At 36.8% G+C, this 23587-nt stretch overlaps 1 protein-coding gene across 6 annotated transcripts in view; it reads right to left on the bottom strand.

The window, feature by feature from the left end:
• The window catches only part of DECR1 (2,4-dienoyl-CoA reductase 1), a 52157-nt gene that overhangs the window by 22454 nt on the left and 6116 nt on the right, over positions 1–23587 (bottom strand). For 3 of the 6 annotated variants that reach the window (NM_001330575.2, NM_001359.2, XM_047421409.1), the window contains 4 exons: positions 13854–14056; positions 12214–12271; positions 12008–12094; positions 10124–10271 (listed from right to left, as the gene is read on the bottom strand). In NM_001330575.2, the coding sequence (NP_001317504.1) occupies positions 10124–10271; positions 12008–12094; positions 12214–12271; positions 13854–14056 (496 nt within the window). Of the gene's footprint in view, positions 1–10123; positions 10272–12007; positions 12095–12213; positions 12272–13853; positions 14057–15513; positions 15640–23587 lie in introns of all 6 variants that reach the window. The other 3 variants (XM_047421410.1, XM_011516880.4, XM_005250808.6) reach the window with 2 other exon arrangements.

Raw genomic sequence — 23587 nt, 5'->3', positions numbered from 1 at the left:
AGACAGGCACAGCAAGCTAATCTGTCCAAGTTGATAGGACTAATAAGTATTAACCAGGATTGGAACTTGGCAGTTAAGCTCTAGAGCCTGCACTCTTAACTACTATGTAACTACTACTGCCTTGCCAAGAAATTTCTAATTACTACTTAGAAAGAAAAACTAATTTATTTTCAAAATTCTCAAATCGCTTTACCTTTACCTTATCTTCAAAAAACATCAAAATAAGGTACACAGTTGCTCTAAGAAATTTTAACAGATGAGGTTGAACTCTCCCATCAAACGAGATGACTCTAGAAAAAAGTGATTTCAAAAGGATACTAATACCACCTTAATAAATTTCAACTGATAACTAAAAATGTGTTTTCAAATATTCTTTAGATGCACCCACTGTTCTAGAAAAAAACAAAATCTCTGGACACAATATAAAGAAATGTACTTATGTGGTTCTTATATACTCTAAGCAACATACACCTTGCACTCACACTACTGACGAATAAGGAAAGCCTTCTGCTATGCTCTACTCTTCCCACTTCTGAAACAAGGTGCATTTGCTTCCATTCCAACTGATCATGTCAATGACTGGTCATCTTTTCCCTCCAATAGTAAAGTTGAAGGACATAATTGAAAGAAGTGTTAAGTATGTACTCAACTCACCTTCCTTTTGCAGGTCTCCAAAATGTTTCACTGCATAAACAAAGCACCACATTTGTGTTCAGTGTTGAGTTAGGAAATGGTGGGGAAGGAATGGAAAGGCTTTGCAGGTAGGGCAGAAGTAATGCACCCTGATAAAAGAATTTGTAATGGACGGAGAGTTGATGGAAAAGGAGACTTACAACATGAAACAATAACTAGATGTAGCATGTTTTTAAGTGCTAAAGCAGGGGACCCCCACACCCCAGCCCCATACCAGTCTATGGCCAGTTAGAAACCAGGCCACACAGCAAGAAGTGAGCAGTAGGTGAGCCAGCATTACTGCCTGAGCTCCACCTAATGTCAGATCAGCGGTGACATTAGGTTATCATAGGAGCGCAAACCCTATTGCAAACTACACATGCAAGGAATCTAGCTTGCACATTCCTTATGATACTCTAATGCCTGATGATCTGAGGTGAAACAGTTTCATCCCAAAACCACCCCCTGCACCTTCCCCTGGTCTGTGAAAAAATTTTCTTTCACGAAAATGGTCCCTGGTGCCAAAAGGGCTGGGGACCACTGTGCTAAAGTATGCATGCTAGCCCCTGAACTGGTAATCCTTCAGTGAGGAGTGGACTAGAGCTGGGAATGGAGACTCTATGGCTCAGGTAAAGAATGATTCTAATCAGGGCATGTGTACTGGATCAGTCAAACGGGCTAGTATAGAGACTGGACAGGCTGAGGGTGCTCCATTATGGAGGACAAGGAAGAGTAACTGGCCAAGTACAATGTCTATGGGTTGGAAAAAGGAATGTTTTGAAATTTATTCTTGTGTTTACGGTTCACACATCAGGGACTCCAGAAGAACAGCAAGATGGTTAAAAAATCTTGTGTTTTCTGATAATTTAATTAAACTGTAAAAACAGTATAATGTACTTTACTTAGTTCAATGCTTCCAAGGCCTCTGGCCTTGAAAACTGTTTCTTCTTCTCTATTAACTAAAACAGTCCTTTGTTTTTATTCTTTCTTCAGTTGGTGATTTACATTTATTCTCTTCCTCTATCACAAGGCTGCTGGTAAGATTATTCACTTCACTCTTTCCCTTTCCCCAACACAAGCTCCATATGGTTCAAGCTTCCTTGGGTTGCTTCTACTTCTTAGTTTTAAATTCTCTGAGGTTCTTAAAAGTTATTTCCACCAAAGTCTTTATGTTAGCTAGGCTATCGGATGTCCATTCACATGTAAGAAAAAGCACATGTACATCTGTAAAACAATTTATATTTTTCATGAGGCTTCTACACCTAACGCCTTGTTCTGTTACTAAATATTGGAGTAGTAATTTATTATCAAGTATATTTTATAGATGAAAAAGCTGAATAACAGTAAAATATCGTCACTCACTAACTGTCCAAGTATCAGGTGTAAACTAAGTGACTATGACTACAATAAAAAGTCACAGTTCCTTCTTTTTCTCTACTAGACCACTTACAACAACTAATTTTTTAAATTATGTCAATTGTCGATTTTAATAGTAATAGTTAACACTTAGGTAATTAATAAGCCATAGTTTCTCATCTGTAAATGTGAGCGTTAAAAATTCACTTCCTACATTAAAAAAAGATTGTACGTCAGTTTCCACCCATGTCTATAAATGGGAATAAAAGAGCACTTACTTGCAAGGTCATTGCAAGTGTTAAATGAGTTAATAAGTATTTAGCACTTAGAACAAAGCCTGATACAAAATAAGCACTCAATAAACATTAGATATGAAAGAAAGAAAGAAAAAAAGAAGGAAGGAAAGATTTTTATAAGGGAAAAAAAGAAAGGAAGGGAGGAAGGAAGGGAAGGAGGGAGGAAGGAAAGAAGGAAGTAAAAATAAGTGAAAATTTGGTTAAAATTAGGTAATGTCTTTAAAAAGAATATTTCACATTTTGCTTGTTCTGTATTCCAACACCTGTTACATCATATACCTTTATTTAATATACAACTTGTGGGAATCACTATAGAATTCTCATATGTTCTTAGGTATAAGGAATTCTAGCTTTCTGGTATAAAGTAATCCATGTGACTCAACACCAAAGCTAGTCCAAAATCAAGTACAATATCTGAGTAGGCTGTCATATATTTTTTCAATAAATACATGCAAGAAAAGCAAAAAAAATTTTTTAAGAAAAATAGTTTTATCTAGATACAATCAAAATGTAATTTTAAGACAATAATAGACATGAGGCCAACATTTTAACTTGAATGTTAAGTAACTTAAGATGCTAAAAAAAAATCCAAATATGAAGAGTATCACACTATGTTGAACACTTATATAATATGCCTCTGATGGCGGCACAAGAGGCTTTTGTTGGATTCAGGTTAAAGTAACAATTTCGCAAAGCAAGGCTGTAGCCAACCTATCACCTGTTGGACAAAGCTGCCAGAGCAGGTGCAAAGGACGAGGTAACATCTGCATATAAACTCCCCTCAAATCCTAATCACTAAACTAAGCAAGCACAGAAGCTAAGAAGCTCAATGAAAAGTAACACTTGGAAAATGACAAAGTAAGCATTAAGAAAATTTCAGCAAAACAAATCTAGCAATATATAACTAGGATAATTTACCAAAATGAAGGAAGATTCAGCCTAGGAATGCAATGGTGTTCAATATTCAAAAATTAATTAATGTAATTCACCATATTAACAGGCTTAAAAATATACCCATCTCAATAAATGTAGAAAGAAGGCTTATATTAACAAATTCAATACTTATTCACGATTTTTTTTTAAAAAAAAAACTATAATCACAGGATCAAACTCACACATAACAATATAAATCTTAAATGTAAATGGGCTAAATGCTCCAATTAAAAGACACAGACTGGCAAATTGGATAAAGAGTCAAGACCCATCAGTGTGCTGTATTCAGGAGACCCATCTCACCTGCAGAGACACACATAGGCTCAAAATAAAGGGATGGAGGAAGATCTACCAAGCAAATGGAAAACAAAAAAAGCAGGGGTTGTAATCCTAGTCTCTGATAAAACAGACTTTAAACCAACAAAGATCAGAAGAGAGAAAGGCCATTATATAATGATAAAGGGATCAATTCAACAGGAAGAGCTAACTATCCTAAACATATATGCACCCAATACAGGAGCACCCAGATTCATAAAGCAAGTCCTTAGAGACCTACAAAGAGATGTAGACGCCCACACAATAATAATGGGAGACTTTAACAACCCACTGTCAACATTAGACAGATCAACGAGATGGAAAGTTAACAAGGATATCCAGGAATTGAACTCAGCTCTGCACCAAGCAGACCTAACAGACATCAACAGAACTCTCCACCCCAAATCAACAGACTATATATTCTTCTCAGTACCACATCTCACTTATTCCAAACTTGACCACATAGTTGGAAGTAAAGCACTCCTCAGCAAATGTAAAAGAACAGAAATTATAACAAACTGTCTCTCAGACCACAGTGCAATCAAACGACAACTCAGGTTTAAGAAACTCACTCAAAACCGCTCAACTACATGGAAACTGAACAATCTGTTCCTGAATGACTACTGGGTACATAACGAAATGAAAGCAGAAATAAAGATGTTCTTTGAAGCCAATGAGAACAAAGACACAACATACCAGAATCTCTGGGACACATTTAAAGCAGTGTGTAGAGGGAAATTTATAGCACTAAATGCCCACAAGAGAAAGCAGGGAAGATCTAAAATGGGCACCCAACATCACAATTAAAAGAACTAGAGAAGCAAGAGCAAACACATTCAAAAGCTAGCAGAAGGCAAGAAATTACTAAGATCAGAGCAGAACTGAAGGAGATAGAAACACAAAAAACCCTTCAAAAAATCAACAAATCCAGGAGCTCGTTTTTGGAAAGGTCAACAAAATTGATAGACTGCCAGCAAGAGTAATAAAGAAGAAAAGAGAGAAGAATCAAATAGATGCAATAAAAAATGATAAAGGGGATATCACCACCGATCCCACAGAAATACAAACTCTCATCAGAGAATACTATAAACACCTCTACACAAATAAACTAGAAAATCTGGAAGAAATGGATACATTCCTGGACACATACACCCACCCAAGACTAAACCAGGAGGAAGTTGAATCCCTGAATATACCAATAACACACTCTGAAATTGAGGCAATAATTAAAAGCCTACCAACCAAAAAAAGTCCAGGAACAGACAGATTCACAGCCAAATTCCACCAGAGGTACAAAGAGGAGCTGGTACCATTCCTTCTGAAATTATTCCAATCAATAGAAAAAGAGGGAATCCTCCCTGACTCATTTTATGAGGCCAGTATCATCCTGATACCAAAGCCTGACAGAGACACAACAACAAAAGATAATTTTAGACCAATATCCCTGATGAACATCCATGCAAAAATCTTCAGTAAAATACTGGCAAACCAAATCCAGCAGCACATCAAAAAGCTTATCCACCATGATCAAGTGGGCTTCATCCCTGGGATGCAAGGCTGGTTCAACATTATGCAAATCAATAAACGTAATCCATCATACAAACAGAACAAAAGACAAAAACTACATTATTATCTCAATAGATGCAGAAAAGGCCTTCGACAAAATTCAACCGCCCTTCATGCTAAAAACTCTCAATAAATTAGGTATTGATGGGACGTATCTCAAAATAATAAGAGCTATTTATGACAAACCCAGAGCCAATATCATACTGAATAGGCAAAAACTGGAAGGATTCTCTGTGAAAACTGGCACAAGACAGGGATGCCCTCTCTCACCACTCCTATTCAACATAGTGTTGGAAGTTCTGGCCAGGGCAATCAGGCAGGAGAAAGAAATAAGGGATATTCAATTAGGAAAAGAAGAAGTCAAATTGTTCCTGTTTGCAGATGACATGATTGTATATTTAGAAAACCCCATCATCTTAGCCCAAAATCTCCTTAAGCTGATAAGCAAATTCAGCAAAGTCTCAGGATACAAAATCAATGTGCAAAAATCACATCATTCCTATACAGCAATAACAGACAAACAGAAAGCCAAATCATGAGTGAACTCCCATTCACAATTGCTTCAAAGAAAATAAAATATGTAGGAATCCAACTTACAAGGGATGTGAAGGACCTCTTCAAGGAGAACTACAAACCACTGCTCAATGAAATAAAAGAGGACACAAACAAATGGAAGAACATTCCATGCTCATGGATAGGAAGAATCAATATCATGAAAATGGCCATACTGCCCAAGGTAATTTATAGATTCAATGCCATCCCCATCAAGCTACCAATGACTTTCTTCACAGAATTGGAAAAAACTACTTTAAAGTTCATATGGAACCAAAAAAGAGCCCACATTGCCAAGACAATCCTAAGCCAAAAGAACAAAGCTGGAGGCATCATACTACCTCACTTCAAACTATACTACAAGGCTACAGGAACCAAAACAGCATGGTACTGGTACCAAAACAGAGATATAGATCAATGGAACAGAACAGAGCCCTCAGAAGTAATACCACACATCTATAACCATCTGATCTTTGACAAACCTGACAAAAACAAGCAATGGGGAAAGGATTTCCTATTTAATAAATGGTGCTGGGAAAACTGGCTAGCCATATGTAGAAAGCTGAAACTGGATCCCTTCCTTTTACTCCTTATACAAAAATTTATTCATGATGGATTAAAGACTTAAATGTCAGACCTAAAACCATAAAAACCCTAGAAGAAAACCTAGGCATTACCATTCAGGACATAGGCATGGGCAAGGGCTTCATGTCTAAAACACCAAAAGCAATGGCCACAAAAGCCAAAATAGACAAACGGGATCTAATTAAACTAAAGAGCTTCTGCACAGCAAAAGAAACTACCATCAGAGTGAACAGGCAACCTACAGAATGGGAGAAAATTTATGCAATCTACCCATCTGACAAAGGACTAATATCCAGAATCTACAAAGAACTTAAACAAATTTACAAGAAAAAAATCAAACAACCCCAACAAAAAGTAGGCGAAGGATTTGAACAGACACTTCTCAAAAGAAGACATTTATGCAGCCAACAGACACATGAAAAAATGCTCATCATCACTGGCCATCAGAGAAATGCAAATCAAAACCACGATGAGATACCATCTCACACCAGTTAGAATGGCGATCATTAAAAAGTCAGGAAACAACAGGTGCTGGAGAGGATGTGGAAAAATAGGAACACTTTTACACTGTTGGTGGGACTGTAAACTAGTTCAACCATTGTGGAAGACAGTGTGGCTATTCCTCAAGGATCTAGAACTAGAATTACCATTTGACCCAGCCATCCCATTACTGGGTATATACCCAAAGGATTATAAATCATGCTGCTATAAAGACATATGCACATGTATGCTTATTGTGGCACTATTCACAATAGCAAAGACTTGGAACCAACCCAAATGTCCATCAATGATAGACTGGATTAAGAAAATGTGGCACATATACACCATGGAATACTATGCAGCCATAAAAAAGGACGAGTTCATGTCCTTTGTAGGGATATGGATGGAGCTGGAAACCATCATTCTGAGCAAACTATTGCAAAGACAGAAAACCAAACACCACATGTTCTCACTCATAGGTGGGAAGTGAACAATAAGAACACTTGGACACAGGGTGGGGAACACCACATACTGGGGCCTGTCATGGGGTTGGGGGAGAGAGGAGGGATAGCATTAGGAGATATACCTAATGTAAATGATGAGTTAATGAGTGCAGCACACCAACATGGCACATGTATACATATGTAACGAACCTGCACGTTGTGCACATGTACCCTAGAACTTAAAGTGTAATAATAAAAAAAAGCTATCAGCAAACTAGATATAGAAGATAACTTCCCAAAGCTGATGAAGGATATTTATGAAAATTTACAGGTAAATCATAATTAATAATGAAAATCTAATTGCTTTCCTCCTGGCATCAGGAGGAAATGTATTTGATTTGTTCTTAATACTAGGAACCAGCAGAATCTAAGTTTTTACCTATTCAATATTTTAGTGAAGGTCCCATCCAATAAAATAAGGCAAGAAAGAAAATAAAAGGCTTATCAGTTGGGAAGGAAAATATAAAAACTGTCTTTTTTTCACCAACAGTATTACCAATGCAGAAAATCCAAAGGAATCTAAACAAAAAAAAACTGTAATAACCATTAAGTGAGTTTAGCAAGCTCCTAGGGAATACATCAATACACAAAACTAATCCATTGTATTTCTAAATACTACAAGAAAACACCTAGAAAATAACATTTAGAAAACAGTGCCATTTGCAATAGCACCAAAAATTTAAATACTTTGGGAGAAAGTTAACAAAACATGTACAATGCCCATGCAAAACACTGCTGATAGGAATTAAAGAAGACCTAAATAAATGGTGAGAGATACCACATTGAGAGACTGGAAGACATGATATTGTTAAAAATGTCACGCTTCAGTTCCTTGACTGTCGATCCAGTACCAGAACAAATCCTTTACCGCGTACTCCCCTCAGCTGAGTGGTCCAAGTTCTCCAAACTCTGTCAGCTTATAGCATCAATAACTGACAGGAATCTTGGAAGAATAAAAACTGGCTTCCATCTTTTAAAAAGATATTTTATCTAATATATTTTTAATGAAGCTCATAGAATTTTAATCCAATGTGATGAACAAAAATAGATCAGAGTCTATGTTAAAATGAAAGACAATAATGAGGGAAGAAGGGAGAGTCAGACAGAAATTGAGGGTCACAGAGATGAGCGAGGGAAGAAATAAGAGACAAAGAGGCAAAGAAGGACAAAGAAACGAAAGAGACAGATGAAGAGAGAAACAGAGAACCAAAAATGAGGAGCTGACAGAGGCAGAGCAGTAGAGAATGAAATGGAGATATCAGCAAGGGGTAGGGCGAGAGAAAATCAGACAGAGGCAGAGACACAGGAGAGATACAGAGATCAAGGTTCCTCGGACAGAGAAGGGAAGAGAGAGGAGTCACACTCTTCCCTGTCCCCCCTTCCCACTCTTATCCATCTTCCTGCCCCTCACTGAAAAAAAAAACATCAAATAAAACACTTATCCAAAATCCAATTATAAATCACATCCATTCTGCCATCATGGAAATGAGTAACCAGGAATTTCAATTTCAATGAGTGCATAGAAAGGATGGAAGCTATTAGTGTATGTATGTGAGCAGACACACACACACACAGAGCTAGTGCCTCTGTAGCATCTCTCTGTTCCTACAGCGTATCTCAAGCTGGTTCTAGGATCACCTGCGCTGCACAAAAGAAGAAATTGAACCTTATAAGGCAAAGGTTTCTGAACAGAGGGAGGAACCTAGCCAGCTCCATGCCCTCTTTCCTCCCCTCAACCCTCAAAGGACATCCTCTGAGGAGCATGAGAACGCTTCCTCATTTTCCTTGTTTAAAATACTCTCCACCTTCTCTGAGAAAATACCCGCACCCTTCAAGTTCCCCAAATTATTCAGGGACAGGGTCTTGTCCACCTCTGTGCTTTGAGCATGAGTATAGGGCCTGCTACCCAAAAGTCATTAGTAAGTGTCTGTCAGGTGAATAAATGTACGCTGGTTCTAGATATATATGAATATACACACATATATACATTAGACATGTTTGCTATCCATGTACATATGAACTTTTATAAAGTAATTCATTCATAATACTAACAAAAATGTTCTCCTAGTAAGTTCTTTCTAAATCTATTTTCCCTCCAGTGTTCTTAATCTCATTGGTATTATCATCCAGACTCTTCATCCCATCTAAAAATACTCTCATCAAATCAATAAGGCCTGTTGATCTTATTGTCTTCTAAATGTCTTCTACTTTATCTCCCATGCAATCTAGCCACCTGCTAAAAGAAAAATCAAATCCTCCTGAATGGCACTCCTTTTATCATCCATCTTGTTGTCACTAACCTTTCCAATCAAGTCGCATTCTTTGTTCCACCTTCAATGGAAATCTATACAAAAATACTTCCTATTTCTTTCAGAATTAACATTAAACTCCTTATTTTGGTATTGAGAACTCTCCCAATTACACTCCAACCCACCTTCCCAAAATCATTTCCTATTCCTTTCCCCATCTCTAATGACATCAAAGTTTTCATCATTCCCTATGTACTTATGTCCTCCTCTCCACCAGGCCTCTATCCATTGACATTCACATGTCCTTTCCCTCCTCTTTCTCCACATCTAGATCTTTGAACTTTCAGCTTAAGTTGCATCTTGTTCCTCAACCTGATCACTGACCCTAGGGAGAGTTAGTCATTCCTGTCTCTGGATTGCCAATGCACTTGAAACATATATTTATTACTGCTCAAATTGTAACATATGATAATTATTTAAATATCATTTTTCTCCATTACACTGTGAGTTGTACAAGTGTAGACTGTCTCATTGACTTTTAAAGTATCACAGAGCTTACCACAGAACCTTGCACACACAGAAGCCAAATAAATATGAGAAAAGCAAATAAACATACCTTTCTGTGCTTTAATTAGTTGTTTTCCAATTTCTAGTGTCACGAAGGCTGTGCCATTTAGAACTATGTCAGTTATGGTTTTCCAAGCATTAGGAGAAAGTCTTTCAGTAGGAGAAATAAAATTCCCTGCTGCATTGTTTATCACAATCTAATAAATGAACAAGGCAAGTTACAGAAACTTTAGATGAGGAAAAACATTTTCCCTGCAGGGTTTTTTTTCTGAAATGTATTAATAGAAATAATACAATAAAGTTGAAGTCCACAGCTACCTACGAAACAATACCATGAGATTTGGTAGTCTGAGTCTGTGAAAACCTCCTACGTTAGTTACCAAATTTCAGAATCCTAAGCCGTCTTTAAATTAGGGTAGATTCTCTTATTAAGAAAACTAAGGCTGAGTGCAGTGGCTCATGCCTGTAATCCCAGCACTTTGGGATGAGTTCAAGACCAGGCTGGGCAACAAAGCGAGACGTCATCTCTACAAAAATTTTGTTTTAAAAATTAGCTGGGTGTGGTGGCACGTGCCTGTATTCCCAGCTACTTGGGAGGCTGAGGTGGGAGTATCGCTTGAACCCAGGAGGTCAAGGCTCCACTGAGCCGTGATTGTGCCACTTGCACTCCAACCTGAGTGACAGAGCAAGACTCTGTCTCAAAATAAATGAATAAAATTTTAAAAGTTAAAAAAAAGAAAATTAATACAGATTAAACATATTTACCATGTGACTGCATTTTATTTCAAAGAATCTCAAGAAATGGCTTTTTGTTTCTGGTGTCATTTTAGTTTAACTTAACCAATGCAGCTTGTGGTTGATGATCTATTTACCATCAGTAAAGATTCTGGCTAGTTCTACAGGAGATTCAGTGTTACTGGTTCTGAAAATACCTTTAACATAGAAAAGTGCTATCTTTGAGACTACTGGAAGAAACGGCTTCTCTCCGATAAATGTACCAAGCAACAGCAAAATATTCATGCATATTTCAGGTCTTAAAAGGAGAAATTTTGAATTTCTTATAGTTTTTCATGTTTATATCGTTCTCCTCCACTGAGGAAGACAATCAAAAGTTACTAGGAGAAGCAAAAAGCATCAATCATTTAAACTCAATGCTGTACTCTTGGATAACTGCTCTTGTTATTTCATAATCTTATTAAATAAAGTGAAATCAAGTTTGTTTTCTGATCAATCATAAATGGATTCTTTAAGTATTCCTGAAAGGAAGTTGTGTAGCAGTCTTCCTACTCTGTTCTTTGCTTTAGCAGAACTGGCATTTTCCTAGGGATGGAAAATAGGTGCTTCTCAACACAGCACTTGCTCATATTGAGGTAGGAGGAGGCCTAACTCTGGAGGCAGAGTTCCATCACAGGACCAGAATGAGGACTAGTTAAACCAGGTCCTGGATGAAAGCACCCCCTCTTTAGACATACCCACCAATGCACCATGTTTGTTTACCATTGCCATGGCAATGTCAGCAAGTTACTGCCCTTTCCATGGCAACGAACTGATAACTCAGAAGTTACCAACCCTTTTCTAGAAATTTCTGCATAAACCTAATTAATTTGCAGGCAATTAAAAGTGGGTATAAATACGACTATAAAACTGCCTCTCAACTGCTATGCCCAGCACATTGACTATGGTGTTGCCCTGCTCTGAAGGAACAGTCACAGATCCATTCCACTGCTGCTGCTTCAATAAAGCTGTTCTCTTCTACCACCGGCTCATCCTTGAATTCTTTCCTGGGTGAAGCCAAGAACCTTCCCAGGCTAAGCCCCAGATTCGGGCTTGCCTGTCCTACATCAGTATCAATATTTTATTTCCTTTGTACATGTTGGTGGGTGTTATCAACATCAAGTGTCTTGCACTTTGGCTTCATCATTGCTACACTTACATTAGGATGTCCTGCAACTTTGATCAGTTCTGACACAGTGTTTTGAACCATATCAGGATCCCTCACATCACACTGAATTGCATGAACCTGCAAAATAACAAAAAGAATATGACATTTTCCAGCTTTCTTAAACCAAACGCATGAACAAATTATTTGAACATGTTATAATTCCTAAATCTAAATTAAATAACTGATTTTTAATGTACCTTATTTCCAGTTTGAGAAGAAATTTGTTCTGCGGTAGCTTTCAAAACATCCATCTTCCTAGAAATAAACACCTTGTATGACTTCATATTATATTTTTCAATTTCATAAATTGAAGAATACAGAGAATCCATAGCTTAAAGAAAAGCATTTCTGAGAAAGTATAGATGTTATTTATATACAAAAATCAATGTGAATTTTTTCTAAAAGTCAAATTTAGATCATTTTTATATATTTGATACTAACTTATTGAATTAGTCACTTTTAAACCAGTTTACTTTAACATTATCTACTCACAGATTTAAATTATTTCCTTGATAAGCCAGGTTTACAAAGAAAATATATTCATGGTATAATGTTAGTAGGTTTTGTACTAAATTTATGGGTTCAAAGAGACTACATTTATTCATGCAGTCTCACATTCTACAAAAAAAACTATGAATAGAAATTATTATTAAAATGAAAATAATATATTTAAACTCTTAAAAACATTACAATGTAAAAACAAAAAATATTCCGGACAATCTGCAATTGCAAATGACACAGTAACTGTTGTTTGGATGACTACTTGGCTTACCTAAAATTTTACACCATTCAAAATGGTGAAGGGGTGGATTTTTAAACCAGTCTCTAAAGCCTCAGACTTTGGAACAGAGTTTACAGGGTACCAGAATATGCCTAATAAGAAGAAATTCCTTCCACATGGTCTTACCCTTCCTATATTCATCACAATAACAGATATTTTGAAATACCTGTTTATTTTATAGAAAATGAAAGTACTGGCTGGGCGCGGTGGCTCACGCCTGTAATCCCAGCACTTTGGGAGGCCAAGGCGGGTGGATCACCTGAGGTCAGGAGTTCAAGACCAGCCTGGCCAATATGGCAAAACCCAGTCTCTACTAAAAATACAAAAAATTAGCCAGGTGTGGTGGCAGGCGCCTGTAATCCCAGCTACTCGGAAGGCCGAGGCAGGAGAACTGCTTGAACCCGGGAGGCGGAGGTTGCAGTGAGCTGAGATCATGCCACTGCACTCCAGCCTGGGCGACAAGAGCTGGACAAAACTCCACCTCACAAAAAATAAAAAATAAAATGAAAGTACTGCATCAATTTTCCTGGTATAAGGTTAATTATTAATTAAAGCAGTAACCATAATCACTCCCACTGAAGACAAAGCAACCTCCATATAGTGCTTAAAAAAAAAATGTTTCTTTTGAGACAAGGTCTCACTATGTTGCCCAGCTGGTCTCAAATTCTGGGCTTCAAGTGATCTTCCTGCCTCAGCTTCCCAGTAGCTGGGATTACAGGCACACACCATCCCACCTGGCTCCATGTCGTACTTTTTAACTTCATCTTCGTGTACAGAAAAAGAAATATTCTACCACTGAATTGGAGAAATTAAAATAATGAAAATTGCGGATGTTTACCCAAACATCAGTTCCACAATTTTCATTGTTTCTTTCATCTCAAATAGTACCTAACTTTTTCCAAAAAGATGTATTTAAATAATCTAAATAATATTTCTAGTATTTCATATAAGATTAAGATGCTAATCAAACAACTCTGGCGAACAGTGTTTTCAATACTATGGCACAGAACAGTTTCTTCAAAAGCGTCGCCAATAGGCTTGATGTAAGGGACTTACCGGCTGGCTATCACGCACTGAGCACCTAGGCTGGACAGAAGAGTTGTCATTCCTTTACCAAGGCCAGTACCTCCCCCAGTAATGAATGCCACTTTTCCTTGAAAACTATTAGGTGGTAGCATCGCTTTTTGAAGAGGTGAAAAGAATTTAGATTGCAAAGCTTCAGTGTTTTGATATAATATTTTTGTCCCATAACTGAAAAACTAAAAGGGGAAAATGAATTTAAATTTGCATACATATATTTCCAAAAAACAGATGAATTTTTTAAAACATGCTCTTGAATTTAATAGTAATCAAATTCTTGTATTAACACAAACTCACTGCAAACATATTGGTATTGTACTTAATTATTATTCTTTGTTTTCTGATTTAAAAAGCACAGGCTCTGGAGCTGGACTACATAGCACAGAATTTTCTCCCAAGCTATGTAACTTTCAGCAGGTTATTTGACCTCTCTGTGCCTCAGTTCCTTCATCTACAAAATGGGGACAATAAAATAAATTTCTTCATATGGCATTGTGAGGATTATATGAGTTATTACAGGTAAAGCACCTAGAGCAGTGTGTAGCACATAGTAAGCACTACAAATGCTACCATTATTAGCTGCAGGTGTTTTGCTTAAATTAAATTGTTGTGTTTTGTTTTGGTTTTTGGTTTTGTTTTGTTTTGTTTTGTTTGTTTGTTTTTTTGAGATGGAGTCTCGCTCTGTAGCCAGGCTGGAGTGCAGTGGCATGATCTTGGCTGACTGCAACCTCCGCCTCCCAGGTTCAAGCGATTCTCCTGCCTCAGCCTCCCGAGTAGAGTAGCTGGGATTACAGGCACACACCACCACGCCGTTAAATTTTTGTATTTTTAGTACAGACAGGGTTTCACCATGTTGGCTAGGATGGTCTCGATCTCCTGACCTCATGATCTGCCCACCTCGGCCTCCCAAAGAGCTGGGATTACAGGCATGAGCCACCACACCCGACCAAATTTAATTTTTAAAAAACTAACATAAAGCATTTTTGTCTTTCAACAAGAATAATCTGGACAAAAATCACTTTCCACCTTTGAATTACTGAAGAAAATTGTTAAAAATTCTCTATAAGGATTATTAAATCAAATGCCTCTTCCCATGCTAGCTTCTGGCCACAAAACATAAAACAGAATATTTCTGTTATTTATTTTAAATGGGAGGAAAATCAATCCATTTCGGAGTAAAAAATATTTGTATTGCCCTATTTTATATGTTAACAGCTTGTACTCACATTACATGCGAACATCACTGCCATTCTCTCGCATTTAATCATAAAACAAACTTTAGGTATCTAATATAATGAACAATAGGAGCTAACATTCATTAAGTAGTTACCACCTGCCAGGATTACATATCAAACTATTTAATCTTCCAAACAACCACATGAAATAGGTATTAGTTTTATCCTATTGTACAGAAAGGGCTCAGAGTGATAAAAAATATATATATTGCCAAAGTTGCAGAACCAAGGTTCAAACTGACTGACAGGCTCCAGAGCCTTCTCTGATAACCAGCTTGCATATTCCTCTGTCTATTCTCTGAGATCCTGCTAAGCTTAATGGTCACACCAGGGAGGTTATGTGATATTCCATTAGGTCATGGTGGCAAGATTAACACTCCAGTTAAAACTCCAGAAGCTACCATTTCCTTCCAGAGTATTCCTGTAGCTAAATAGGCTGTCATCAGTTGGTTCAGGATATCTTGAAATTTATCCTCAGGAAAGAATAAGAAATGTGGTCAATGATTTAGAAGGAGGCTGTTCATCACCTGGAAATTGCACAAGAAAATGTTTATAATGTGATGTTAAATGAAAAAAAAGAAACAAATATACAGTATGTTTTTAACTACAAATAAAAATATATGCTTAGAAAAAAAGACTAGAAGGAAATAACAACAGTAAGTAGTAGATTCAATATTTACCATACAGTCCTCAAAACAGCTCTATAAGGTAAATTCAATTGTTACTTCTATTTTATAGATGAAAAAAACTGAAGCACAGAAAGGTCAAGTAGCTAGCTGTTAAAGATAAATAATAATAGGGAATAAAGACTTAAATCCAGTATCTGTCTGACTTCAGAGTCCACCCATTACTTTACAGTTATGGTTAAGTGATGAGATTATAGATAATTATTTGTTTTTTTTTGTTTGTTTGTTTGATTGGTTTTTAGTACTTTCCAAATCTATCCAATAAGTATGATTAGATCTTTACAAGCAGAAAAAAAGTTACTGAAAGACAAAATTTGAGATCATGTATAAAATAATTGAAGATACATTTGTAAATCTTGTTATGCTCCATGCCAGTCATCATATTTATTTTAGCTTCATGTTGACAAAGCATTTTCTTTTCATATCCTTTTGCCAAAGCACAGTAATCCAAGCAACTCTACAATAATCTTTTTCTACATAAGTGGCAGTTTTCCTTAAAGCTGCCACCTGCCTTCAGAACTATTACATTAAGATGATGAATCAAGAAGTTCACTCAAGTAGAATGGTAAATTTGTCATTAAGTAATAATAATGAAAAAAATGTATTCTAATTTTCTGAAGGCTTTCCCATAATTTTTAACTTTTTAATGTTAATGTGTATAGGGGATTTGATGTGGGACTTCATGAAAATAATTAAACAAGATATTTGCATACAAACTTTCTTTTTAAATTTATTTTAAAACATTTCCTCAACCTCCTCACTGGTAGAGAAAAGGATATAAAGGTAAAAATGTCACATGTGGTAAAAATAATTCCTAGTGTCCATAATGTAACAGGTTATTACATAGCACATTTTTATCTTATATGATCTGATCAATACTAACCTTATGATTCCACTTCCTCACCAAACCAAAGTGAAGAAATTGATAAGCTATTTTAATTCTCATTACCCTCTGACAATACACAGCATATGTGTTAATATAAATTCAAGCCATCTTCTCTGCCTAAAAGGAAGATGTTCATTTCAACCTTAAGACCCATTGAGATGATCAGATCTCACAGGATCACATCATATTCAATCCCGTTTCTACAAGGAAGCATCCTTAATAACCTTAAACAGTATTTTGGTTGGGCTTTTTTGAATTATAAAAAGTAGATACAAAACAGGCTTTTAAAGATTTTCAAGTCTTGCTTTATGGTTTTTAGAGAAATAAGTTTTTTTCAAAAATATAAATAACACCTTTCGTATCAAGATTGATTTCTCTTGAGATCTTTAGTGACCTAAAATTCTTAAAACTTTCTAGAGTCTTCCAACTTTGGCAATACAGAATTATTTTTTAGTTACAAGCTCTAAATCTCTCCCTCAAAAAATTAGCTATCACCTACCTTCCTCACCATACTCATCCCTCTCCTACATCATATAAACAATAGCTTCCTCCTTCATGTATTCCAAAATTACAGCATCTAAACTAATGAGACATGATCATACTTTTAATCTTCAAAATGGCAGTTCTGAGAGTTGACACTGCACCTTCCCCTCAAGGATAAGGACTGTATATCAATGAGATATATACCTAAATTACTTAAGTATATTTTGGCTAGTCTAAAATGTCTAGGGTAAATATCTCAAATAACAGTAGATTAGTGATTCTAGGCCAAATATGTTTTTAAAACTTGAGCCCAAAGTTTTTAAAACTTGAGCCAACATTTAGATAATGGAAGAATTCACATAAAAGTCAGAAGCTCTACCAACACTTGGGTACACCTTACCACATGATTAAGTACAACTACGACTGCCCCCTTGAGACAAGGCCTGAGCTCTGTCCAGCCCCGACTCACACAGGAAAAGTGAGCCCTTTTCACTGGGTGGCCTTTCATAAACAAGGCCTTCAAGGACTTTAGGCCTCTGAGTATGTGACTCCTAGATGCCTATTGTAAGTAACACACAAGAAACCAATACAAAAAAAAAAAAAAAAAAAAAAACGAAAGAAGAGGCAAGGCTTTTATTTTGGAACCACAACTAAATTTCATTTAAAACAAATTTCTACAAAAATCATTGTTTAATGTGTGTGCTAGGTACATTATTAAGAAGATCCAGTTTCAAATATATAAAACTCATACAATAATAGTCTCTCATATGGAAGTTGTAAGGCTAAATGAGTTATCTTTTGAGCACTTAGTTTAGCTATTTATCATCGTCGTCATCATCATCACTATGGATGGGTCCTCCACATTAAAATTCCATTCCTCAAAAACATGGATGCCTTCCAAAGTCAAAAAGACAAAAATCAAACTCTTGAGCATGGCATTCAAGCCACTGGACAATATGGTGCCAACGTATTAATACTTTCCTAGCCCCACCTCGTGACTGATCTGCCATGTAGAAGTAAACTCTACACTTACCAAGCCCTCACAATTCCAAAAACTTGCCAACTACTTTCACCTTCTGGCCTTTGCTCCTGCTTTCTCATTGGCCTGAACCACCCACTGTCTTTCTCAACCCAGCAGAATTGGCCTTCAAAACCAGACAACATTGTCAATATCTCTGTCAACACTTTAAATTGTACCCTATTAAAAACAGGCAAATGGAAGGCTTCCAAATTGGCCTGCTAAGGAGTTGCCACAATTCATTTCAACATATCAGGATGCTTAGGAAGCCAGGGACACGACCTTATATTCATCACTATAGTACAGTTTCTGGCACCAGTTAGGCATTCGGTAAATGCTTGTCTTACTTAATGTAACACTTGGTTGGCCAGACTCCAATTGCATTAGAAAGCACATGGATACAGACATGTAGTCTTATGTGAATATATGATTGAAATCCAGCTTTTGCCACTTGTTTTAAAAAATTAGTCATTTCCAATGACCCTAAATTATGACATCTTAAACATTAGAATAAGCCCAAGAATAGAAAATCTAAATCATCAGGCCGGGCACGGTAGCTAACACCTGTAATCCCAGCACTTTGGGAGGCCGAGGCAGGTGGACCACCTGAGATCAGGAGTTCGAGACCAACCTGGCCAACATGGTGAAACCCCATCTCTACTAAAAATACAAAAATTAGCCGGGCGTGGTGGCATGCGCCTGTAGTCCCAGCTATTCGAGAGGCTGAGGCAGGAGAATTTCTTGAACCCAGATGGCGGAGGTTGCAGTGAGCCAAGATCGTGCCACCACACTCCAGCCTGGGCAACGGAACAAGACTCCCTCTTAAAAAAAAAAAAAAGAAAAGAAAAGAAAATCTAAATCAATCTATACAAGTACTGAGTTACTTGCAAATAGAAAAACTAAGCAAAGGGCTTAGAAAGGTACTCCACACAAACAAAAAACAAATATACGACCATATTTATAACTAAATAAGCATATTTAAACAAAAGGAGACATAATTTTTCTCTTACCAGACCAGCAAGGTTCAAAATTTTATCATCTATAATACAAGAAACAGTTGATTAAAGCCACCCTTACAATCTGTTGATAAGAATTCTGGCAACTTCTTAGGAGGCCAATCTGGCAACATTTTTTTAAATGTTAGATACAAATACTCTTTGACCCAGCAAATCCACATGCAGGAATTTATCTAAAAGAAATACTCATTCATTTGGGAAAGAAGCAGGGGGAGAAGGAGCTATGATCAAAGATATACATTAAGATGAAAATGAAATTAAGAAAACAATTCTGTTTATAATCATATTGAAAAGAATACTAATACATTTAATAAAAGAAGTACAAGACTTATAAATTGAAAACTATGAAACATCATTAAGAAATTAAAGACCTAAGTAAACAAAAAGACATTATATGTTCATGGACTGGAAAGCTTAATTTTGTTAAGAGGACAACACTTCCTAAATTGATATACAGATTCAACAAAATCCCTATCAAAATCCTAATCAGCTTTTTGTGAACGTCGACAAGCTTATCCTAAAATTGTTTTGAAAATGCAAGAGACTCAAAATAGCCAAAGAGATTCATTAAAGAATTGTTTGTAATAGAAAGACTACAAAACAATCTATGTGTGTTTCCTTAGGGGACATAGCCAATGAATTAGAGCACATCTATATTACAAAATACAGTTATATGGATCTATTATCTACCAAAAGAAGGAGCTGGAATGTATATGCTGACTGTAAACATTGCTATAGATGTATTATTTTTTAATTATTCAATAAGTATTTGTTGGATACCAACAATGTGAGACACTATGTGTTAAGTGTAAAACTCAAGGTAGAGAAATACATGTAACAGGCTCCCCTTCATGTGGTTTTTTAAAATGAGGATATCTTCATACATATGTTGACATATGCACAAAAACTGTCAGAAGTATCCACAAGAACCTATTCATAGTAATAACCATAGTAATAATAACCTTATTACACTGTCACTGCATATCCTTTTATATTGCTTGAATGTTCAACATGTTCATAAATTTTTTTTCTTTAACAATAGCTAACAGAAAACTGAATCATATAGGCAAGCACACAATACAAGAAGTACGTAGAGGAAAACAGAGCAAGAAAAAAAATGGCCTAGAATCAATTTCATGATAAGGACATATACCTTACTTGAAGCATAACTACTCTATATTAAACACTAAAGTGTGAGCTATATTTATAAAGATAATGAAATATTTCCACATCTATTTTCTTGGAGCTTCTACGTATCTGTTGGTTCAGGTTGAATCAATATTTTTTAGATCAAATTTACTCCAACTGGAATTCACATAAGAGTTTTGCAGACTGGGCCCTAACTGCCATATTAAACTATCAGCGTGGTAAACACTGGACAACCATATTTTTCAAAGGATGAGTTTCAAAAGTGTACATCTTTGCATTCCCAAAACACCTTATGTACTCCCTGAATACAGGAAGCCTTCCATAACTACTTCCCAATTTATTTTGTCCGATTGCTAGAAGGCCATGCGTGCATTCTTTCCAATGGCCACACCACTGCCACTTCAGCACAGTGTATGTGGTCCTTAGCTGGAGGTATCTGGTAATACAAGGGATAGTTTGGTGGGATGTTCTACTGGATGTTCCAGTGCAGAAAAGGACAGCCTTGCAGAATGAAGAACTGTCTCACCCCAAATGCCAACAGTTGCCCTGCAGACATTAAAATAACTGAGTACCACACCAAAAGCTTGCCACAGGCCTCGTTAACTCATGCTCCATGACTGTGTAGATTGCTTAAGCACATCTGCCTGCTCCTTAACTTATAGCAGGGCACTGAACAGAGGCCACTGATATTCTCAGCTTCCGCAGAGCACAGATCTTGTTGCCACAGCAACCTGAAGGTAAGGCTAAACAAATATAAAAGAAACTGCCCAGCTGGACTCCAAGCTCCAATGGCTAAGCTGAATTATGCAGTTGCCAGGAGCAAGACAGAAATTACATTTTTGAGGAATGATACATTTTGTATCAGTGAACATGAGTCCTTGAAAATGTCGGTGCTCTATGCCATAGGGTGTACATCTCATTTTATTACAGTGGTTATCTGTCTGCAGTTAGATGCAGACTGAACAGATGCTTCTCCAATACAACAAAATAAAAAGAGATGAAATCACAGACCTAAGAGGCAATTTGAAATTTTCAGCTAGGGTCTTCACTCCTGCCTGCCTCTGATTTGAGTCATCTCTTATTGATCCCCTATCATGTTAACCAAAACTATAATGACAATCTTTTTTAAACCAAAAATTAGAATCTCTGCTCTTGCAAAGAGTTTGTTTTGGGAATTTGCTTACATAAAAAAGTATTAGGGATAAACATGACATTATGATGGATATAGAGTTTATTCATTTATTCATTTTAAGCAAGTGTTTATTGAGCATATATTAAGCCCCAGGCACTGTTCTAGGCATGGCAGTACGGCAGTAAAAAAAAAAAACAGACACAATATTCTATTCTCAGCAAGATTATCCTTGGGGGAATGAGGGATAAAGAAATTAAGTTAAATATGTAGTATATTAAAAGTTGATATGTAGTGTGGGGAAAAAATAAGGCAGAGAATAGGGATAGAGCATTGCTACTTTAAATAGAGTCATCAGCAAAGGCCTCATTGAGAAGGTGACATTGGAGCAAAGACGTGAAGGAGAAGAATGAATCACAGGGTTTTAGGCAAAAGGGATTGGGAGCAAAGGCCCTAAGCAGGGGGCATGCTTATGGATGGGGTAACAGTCAGGAAGCCAGTGTGGCTGGAGAAGAAGGAAGGAGGGAGACAGGGGCAGGAGAAGAGGTCAGTGAGGTAAAGGGGACTGGACCATGCAGGCTGAGTCAGCCACTACGGAGACTTAGGCTTTTACTCTGAGGCAAGTGGGAAACATCTTCTAAGTTTTAAGGAGAGAATGGACATGATCTGCCTTAAGTTTTAAGGGGATTGTTCTGGCTGCCATGGAGTGTAGAGGGCAAGGTTGGAAGCAGGGAAACTATTAGGACACTTGTATAACAAGCCAGGCAAGAGATGGTGATGCTTAGCCCAGGATGCTATCATGTGAACTGGTGGGAAGTTAGCAAATAAAACTACTTGCAAGAGCAAAGGTCCCAAAAAATGAGGACGTAATGAGTCACCACTGTACCTAATATCGCCTGGTCCAATTATTTCTTCTTTTTCTTAATGTTTTATTAATACATAACATTTTAACCTATTTATGGGGTACATGTGATATTTTATTCCATGCATAGAATGTGTAATGATCAAGTCAGGATATTTAAGATATCCACTAGATCCATGATTTCTTCTTGCCTCTTGCCCAACAACATGAGCTTGGACTTTTGTTCTTGATCTATTTCATCACATTTTTGCCTGTTTCATTAACAGCATATAAACAGGTCTCCTGTTTACTGAAAAGAACTGAGAGAGATTTTTCTACCTCTCTCATCTTTACCTCAATATCCCTGTTACATCTGCACTGCCTTTGTGTTCTAGAAAAATTAAGATTTAAATGTGAGCCAGAAAAAAGGAAATGGAGACTCATCAGACAGAAGTCATTAAGTGTACATGAGAGATACCGAGGGCAGTAGAAATTAAGAGAAGACAACATATTCCACACACATTTAACATGTAAATTAGCCTGAACCCAGAACCCAACCAGCCAGACCTGGCAAGTAAGGTGAGAGCTGTGGAAGGTAACTGAGTTCTAGTTTTAAGTGGCTGCATGCAGAGTGATGCTCTGACTGAAATGACTGGGTTGACATGAGAAGACCAAGTTGGAGCATTGAGGATAATGAGTTCTGCATCAGAAATGCTGCACTTGGGATGCTTCTGGAATAGTCAGGTAGAGATATCTAAGCTGCAGTAGGAAATATGGTTTTGAAGCATGAAGAATAAATTAGGGCTAAAGGTAAATGGCAACATCATTTCATCATTCCAGCAATTATGAAAGCCTACAGTTCTATCACTGCTTTTATGTTACAATGCAGTGTGAGGGTTTCCCAGACTGGAAGGGATAAAAGTGCAGTTGACCTTGTATTCTAGACTTACTTATCATTACCCTGGCACTTCAATCTCAGAATGATTCATCAACTTAGGAAGAGAAGAGCGCAGGACAGCTGAGAATGCTGATCATTTTCTACCTAGAATTTTCTGCAAAAACTAAAAGTTGCTAAACATCTATTGCATGCTTTCTACCATGGGCTGTAAGAAACTCTGGATAACTTTAAAATTCCCCCCTCTTTTGATGTCATTATCATGACCTTTGGGAGATATCTGAGATCTAGATTATTTTTTGTAATAATATAAAGTTTGCTTTGTAGTTTGGGCAGGAAGTTTGTTTGAAATTTCTTCAAATGCATCCTTAA

This window comes from Homo sapiens, chromosome 8 (assembly GCF_000001405.40).
Source record: "Homo sapiens chromosome 8, GRCh38.p14 Primary Assembly".
Classification (NCBI taxonomy): domain Eukaryota; kingdom Metazoa; phylum Chordata; class Mammalia; order Primates; family Hominidae; genus Homo; species Homo sapiens.
The sequence above is the reverse complement of the archived record's forward strand: the minus strand, read 5'-3'. Positions and strand labels throughout refer to the sequence as shown.